The sequence below is a fragment of the Homo sapiens genome, chromosome 15, assembly GCF_000001405.40.
Source record: "Homo sapiens chromosome 15, GRCh38.p14 Primary Assembly".
Classification (NCBI taxonomy): Eukaryota; Metazoa; Chordata; class Mammalia; order Primates; family Hominidae; genus Homo; species Homo sapiens.
In genome coordinates, this window is record NC_000015.10 from 45241119 (window position 1) to 45248435 (window position 7317).

Here is a 7317-nt window from a genome sequence, read left to right on the forward strand (position 1 = left end):
GGGTCATGAATTTTTTCCCAGGCTCTTAGGCATATACTTCTGAGCTGATCAACAGCCTCATCACCCATTACCATCTGTTGATTTATAGTACCTCATGCCTGTCCGATTCCAAGCAATTGATCAGATGTGATATTAATGGGAGGTTGAGCTTGAGCATTTCTGCATGCCTGATTTGTTGCTTCATCTGTACACCAGGCTTTAAATTGCAGAAATGGAGAGGGGGATAGGGTGGATTGGGCTAATGACTCCCAATCCATAGGTATTAAACACCTGTTATAAGCCACAGATTGTAACAAGGAATGAACATAAGGAGAATTCGGCCCATATTGTCCTATTGCTTGCTTTAAGTCTTTTAATATTTTAAAAGGAAATGGCTCCTAGCGTGCTTGGGCATGTTCTCTGGGCTCCTCAGCTGGCGAAATAATTACCAGAAACTGCCAAGCATCCAAATCCCTGATTTCTCATCCCTGGCGAATGGATGCCTGGATTGTCCCTGTGCCATAATTTGTATTTGGGCCGGCTTGCAGCATTCCTTTACTATAATTAACAGGTGGACAAGCCTGGATCATTCCCTCACTGTAATTGGCTGTTGGGCCAGCCTGAAGCTTCCCTTTGCCACAGTTAATGGTGGGGCGTGCAACAATGGGAGTGACAAGCTGCATCTCAGGCTCTCATTTCAAAAATTCATAAGGCTGAGGTGGGGGTGGCCATTCCGGACCTTCCCCTAAAGGCACAGTAGGTGGCACTATTTCTGCAGTAGGTGGAACTGTTTCTTTCATAAGTTTTTGGAGGTTAGCATATATAGCTTCCTGTTTCTTCCCCTTTTTAAAATTAGACTGTGATGGTTCACTTTGCTGATCATCAGAATCCTGATTATTAAACTTTTCTATGTCATCCTGAAACTCCTTCTCCTCCTCAGCGTGGAAGGGCTCTAGTGCTGTTTTAATTGCTGACCACACAGACCAAGCGGAGAAAGGAATATCGTGGCCCTCTTGTTGTGCTCGTTTTAAGTCTGATCCAACCTTGTCCCAATCTTTTACATTCATGGTTCCATATTCCAGGAACCAAGGAGAATACTTTTCTACGAGATGGAACAAAGATGTGAGATTTTGGGTACTCACAATTACCCCCCACCACGGCACAATAACTGCCGCACCAGGCTTAAGTAATTAACAAACTTACTTTCAGCCTGACCCATATTTTCCTGAGGTTACCCTGGAATTCTCCAAGTGCCCTACTTACCCATAGAGCCTGAAGTAAAAACGTACTCAGGCATCCTTCATCAGTCGTCCTCCACTTTCCACACTCTGGCGTTTCTTCACTGGATTATTTGTAGAGATTATGGGGAGCCCCATGTTGGGCGCCAGATGTTGGGGAAACCAGCCCCACATCACCCAGCGGGTACACTGAGTCTAGAGGAAACAAAGGAGTTAGAAAGAGACAGAATAGCGTTTAAAAGGCGGGTCCAGGGGACTGGAGCATCGGAGGCTTGCTCACAGCCCAGAGCTCTCAGGCTCTGCCCCAATTTATCGGTTTACAAGCTCTTTGTTCTTAGGGCAGATGGGAGGGGGAGGAAGGGATGAGGAAAAGGATTAATCAGTGAAGGAGAACTCATGAGTCATTCGATAAGATGTATAGCAGTGGCGGTTTCTGTGAATTTCCTTGAACAAAGGCGTGTGTCTAAACTACTTAAGATCTTGAACTTATCGGGACTGAAATGGGTTGGAGCAGGTTTCAGGAGGAGCCAAGATGTTTGATTATACTCCACTGCTTCAAGGGAGTGTTATCTCCCTGAGCAACCTGTGGAATGCCACTGAGCAGTTATGCTCTTCGGGCATAAAGACATGAAGGCAATAAGGAGACTTTTCTCCTCAGAGGCCGCCCATGGCTTCCCATGTGTGTCTCACACAGGGGAGTCCAACTCAACTGGCACCTCAGAAACTCTCTTTCTCACAGGTCTCGAACTCTTGACCTCAGGTGATCCACCTTCCTAGGCCTCCCAAAGTGTTGGGATTACAGGTGTGAGCCACTGCACCCAGCTAAAACAGGTATTTTAATACATCCCTTATACATTAACTTATGTTAAAGAAGGTAGAGGAAGTAATGAGCTTGATGGAGATATAAATGAAAGACATAAAAAGAGATTTGAAATAGAACTCTGGGCCAGGTGTGGTGGCTCATGCCTATAATTCTAGCACTTTGGGAGGCTGAGGTGGGTGGATTGTCTCAGCTCAGGAGTCCGAGTCCAGCCTGGGCAACATAGTGAAACCCCATCCCTAAAAATACAAAAAATTAGCTGGGCATGGCAGTGTGTGCCTGTAATCCCAGCTACTTGGGAGGCTGAGACAAGAGAATCACTTGAATCCAGAGGCAAAGGTTGCAGTGAGCCGAGATCATGCCATTACACTCTAGCTTGGCCGACAGAGTGAGACTCCACCTCAAAAAAAAAAAAGAAAGAAAAAAAGAAATAGAACCTCTGAATATGAAAAATACAACATCTGAAATGAAAAGTACACTGGATAGGATTAATAGCAGCTTAGACATCATAGAAGAAAAATCAAACTGAAAGATACAGAGAAAAAAAGACTGGAAGAAACAGCGAGAACACCATATTAGAGATTCATGAAATATCATTAAGTGGCCTGGTGTACATTTAATTTGAGTCCCAGAAAGAAGAGATAAAAGGGGAAGATAGAACTCCTAGGGTCAAACAATCCTCCCACCTCAGCCTCCAAAGTAGCTGAGAATATAGATGTGCACCATGACACTGGGATTTGACTTGTTTTTAAGTTCACTGATTCTCTTCTTAGTTAAGCTGAGTCTGCCAATAAGCCTGTCAGAGCTATTCTTCATATTTGTTACCATGTTTTTTTATTTTTAGCACTTTCATTTGGTCCTTTCTTATAGTTTTCTTCTCTCCTGACAGTCTTTTTTTTTTTTTTTTTTTTTTTTTTTTTTTTTTTTTTTTGAGATGGAGTCTCACTGTGTTGCCCAGGCTGGAGTGCAGTGGCACAATCCTGACTCACTGCAACCTCCACCTCCCAGGTTCAAGTGATTCTCCTGCCTCAGTCTCTTAAGTAGCTGAGGCTATAGGTACGTGCCACCATGCCTGGCTAATTTTTGTGTAGTTTTAGTAGAGGTGAGCTTTCACCATGTTGGCCAGGCTGATCTCAAACTCCTGACCTCTAGTGATCTGCCTGCCTCGGCCTCCTAAAGTATTGGGATTGCAGGCATGAGCCATGTCGCCCAGTCAGTCCTCATCTCTTTATGCATGTTTTCCTCCTTTTCCACTACAGCCTTTAACATGTTAATCTTAATTATTTTAAATTCTCCATATAATAAGTGGATTATTTTAAAGGTCTTCATCCTCATTGTCTTCACATCAAATAGGCTGAGGAGGAGAAGGAAGGGGAGGGGTTGGTCTTGCTATCTGAGGAGCGGCAGAGGCAGAAGAAAATCTGCATGTAAGCAGACCCACACAATTCAAATCCGTGCTGTTCAAGGGTCAACTGTAGTTGGAAGCTATGATGATGGTTTTAGTGTATACTTTTAGTAGAATGATGTAGTTAATTTTGTATAATTAACTGCATTTATGAGTCTTTAAACTTAAAAATGATAAGGAAAACTATCTCCTTAGTTTTAAAGTTGCTTTAACAGGCAGGGCAAGGTGGCTTACACCTGCAATCCCAGCACTTTGGGAGGCCAAGGTGGGTGTTCAGGAGTTCAAGACCAGCCTTGAGGTCAGGAGTTCAAGATCAGCCTGGCCAATATGGCGAAACCCCAACTCTACTAAAAATACAAAAATTAGCTGGGTGTGGTGGTGGGTGCCTGTAATCCCAGCTACTGGGGGGCTGAGGCAGGAGAATCGCTTGAACCTGGGAGGTGGAGGTTGCAGTGAGCCAAGGCTGTGCCACTGCATTCCAGCCTGGATGAGAGAGCAAGATGCCATCTCAAATAAATAAAAATAAATAAATAAAGTTGCTTTAACAGTTTATAAAAATAAAAATCACCTACTTTTTCAGTTAAAAATAAATAAATCTTCCCACGTAACAGTCATAACATATGGATTATATCTGATTCCGGTTGGTCATTGCATTATCTCTTGATAGTGTGGTTTTTGTTTGTTTTTCCTTTTTTGTCATAAGTATTTTGGTTGTAGGCCAGACATCTTGTGTAGAACAGTAGAGACTGGGACAAATTGCTTTTATGCCAGAAAATGGGCATATGCTTTTGTGTTAGTCCATTCTTGCATTGCTATGGAGAAATACCTGAGAGTGGGTAATTTATAAAGAGAAGAGGTTTAATTGGCTCATGGTTCCGAAGCTTGTACAGGAAGCATGATGTTAGTCATCTGTTCAGCTTCTAAGGAGGCCTCAGGAAACTTACAATCATGGCAGAAGGCAAAGGGGAAGCAGGCTCATCTTACATGGCCAGAGCAGGAGAAAGAGAGAGAGGGGGAGGTGCTGCACACCAGATCTCATGAGAATTCACTCACATACAGTACCAAGGGAAGATGGTGCTAAACCATTCATGAGAACTCTGTCCTCACGAGCCAATCACCCCCAACCATGCCCCACCTCTAGCTTTGAGGATTATATATATATTTTTTGAGACAGAGTTTCACTGTGTCACCCAGGCTGGAGTTCAGTGGCTCGATCTTGGCCTACTGCAACCTCCGCCTCCTGGGTTCAAGCAATTCTCCTGCCTCAGCCACCATGCCCAGCTAATGTTTGTATTTTTAGTAGAGACAGGTTTTGCTATGTTGGCCAGACTGGTCTCGAACTCCTGACCTCAAGTGATCCTCCCGCCTCAGCCTCCCAAAGTGTTGGGATTACAGGTGTGAGCCACTGAGCCTGGCCTGGGGATAACATTTCAACATGAGATTTGGGTGGGGACACAGATCCAAATCATACTAGTTTTTTTTTTTTTTTTTTTTTTTAAGACAGGGTCTTGCTCTATCACCCAGTCTGGAGTGCAGTGATACAAACCTGGCTCACTGCAGCCTGGAATTCCTGGGCTCAAAGGATTTTCCCACTTCAACCTCCTGAGTAGCTAGTACTACAGGCATATGGCACCATGCCTGGCAAATGTTAGCCTTTTTTTTCTTTTTGTAGAAACAGGGTCTCACTATATTGCCCAGGTTGGTCTCAAACTCCTGCCCTCGAGTGATACTACTGCCTCAGTTTCCCAAAGCACTAAGATTACAGGTTTGAGCTACCATGCTCAGCTAGGCGTGTGCTTTCTTTAGCTAAATCCTTAGTGTTTGGGGTTGAGTCGATCTAGTGAAAAGTTGAGCTGGATTTGTTGAATTGAGTTGGTGGCTTGTATGAAGATTTTTCTCAATAACTGCTTGAGCTTCAGCTTTAAGTCTTTTCTTTGCACCTATGCCTTAGAGAAGGCCCTCTCCACACATTCCCCCGCCCGCTTTACAGAAGTAAATGCCTGTTACTTTCTACTCAACTCTTGCTATCCTGGTGTGGAAAAGGAGAGTGCCCTCTGTTTTACAGGCTCATCCTCAATCTTACACAGGTGTTATGTCCCTGGGTCTTAAAGGTGGGGCATTATCAGCAATCGTCCCTCCATCAGCAATAGGAAATCTCTAATGGCCTTGGTCCAGGGCAGTTTTCTGCCTCTCTTTCAGAGGTAGAAATTTTTTTTTCTGTTCACTTCTCTCAGCAATGAGTCTTCACCTGTGGCCCAAGGGTGGCAAATTTTTTTCCCCTCTCCCAGTGATCCAAGGCAGTTTTGCAGGGGAGATAGATGAGAACAATCCAGGTAGAGCTTTGTGTCTTTCCTGCAGTGATAGCTGCTCACCTTTCCTAGGCCTGCACCATGAGGGGAACTTTCCCAAGTCTCCTGTTTTGCCCATGGTCTTTCTTCTTTTTTTTTTTTTCAACTTGCATTGCCTCTGACCCAAGTCAGTAGCAACCTTTATTACTTATAAAGATTTTTAAACATTTCCATTGTATTTACAACACAAATTTTAGGCAACACACTCCTATGAATGTGATGGTTTTAATGGTTAATACCTATCCAAGTAAAAAAATTATGCTTTAATGTGGAAAGAATTTTAGCCTGGGCAACAAACATAGTGAGACCCCATCTCTGCTAAAAAAAAAAAAAAAAAAAAAAAAAAAAAAAACTAAAAAATTAGCCAGGCATGGTGGCTCACACCTGTAGCCTCAGCTACTTGAGAGGCTGAGGTGGGAGGATTGCTTGAGCCCAGAAGATCGAGGCTGCAGTGAGCCAAGATTGTGCACCGTACTCCAGCCTGGGCAACAGAGTGAGACCCTGTCTCAAAAAAAAAAAAAAAAAAAAGAACAAGGTAGAGGGATTTGAGAGGTGTGTATTTCTGTATTCTGGCTTTTTTTTTTGAGACAGGGTCTCACTCTGTCACCCAGGCTGGCGTGCAGTGGCACAGTTTCGGCTCACTGCAACCTCCACCTCCTGGGTTCAAGTGATTCTCCTGCCTCAGCCTCCCGAGTAGCTGGGATTACAAGCATGCACCACTGCGCCCAGCTTATTTTGTATTTTTAGTAGAGACAAGGTTTTGCCATGTTGGCCAGGCTGGTCTTTAACCCCTGACCTCAGGTGATCCACCTGCCTCACCCTCCCAAAGTGCTGGGATTACAGGCGTGAGCCACTGTGCCCGGCCCGTCTTTTTTTGGTGTTGTTTTTTAATTCTTTTTTTTTTTTGGAGACAGAGTCTCGCTCTGTTGCTCAGGCTGGAGTGCAGTGGCATGATCTCAGCTCACTGCAACCTCTGCCTCCCAGGTTCAAGTGATCCTCCCACCCCAGCCTCCCAAGTAGTTGGGACTACAGGTGTGCATCACCACAGCTGGCTAATTTTTTGAATTTTTAGTAGAGGTGGGGTTTCACCATGTTGGCTAGGCTGGTCTCAAACTCCTGACCTCAGGTGATTCACCCACCTCGGCCTCTCAAAGTTCTGGGAGTACAGGCATGAGCCACCACACCCGGCCCGTGGTTCTTTTCTTTTTATTATTCTCCCAAAAAGTGCAGCCATTTTGGCTGTCCCAAATATTGTTTGTCTGCATTCTGATTTGAAAAATAAAGTGTCCTCAAAATAGGAGCTAGGATGAATGTGGAGCTGGAGCACAAATCCTTTTTTTTTTTGACCGGGTCTCCCTCTGTTGCCAAGGTTGGAGTGCAGTGGCATGATCACAACTCACTGCAGCCTTGAACTCCTGGGCTCAAGCGAGCCTCCTGCCTCAGCCTCCTGAGTAGCTGGGACTACAGGCATGCACCGCCACCCCCAGCCATGTTTCCCAGGCTGGTCTCAAATTCCTGGACTCAAGA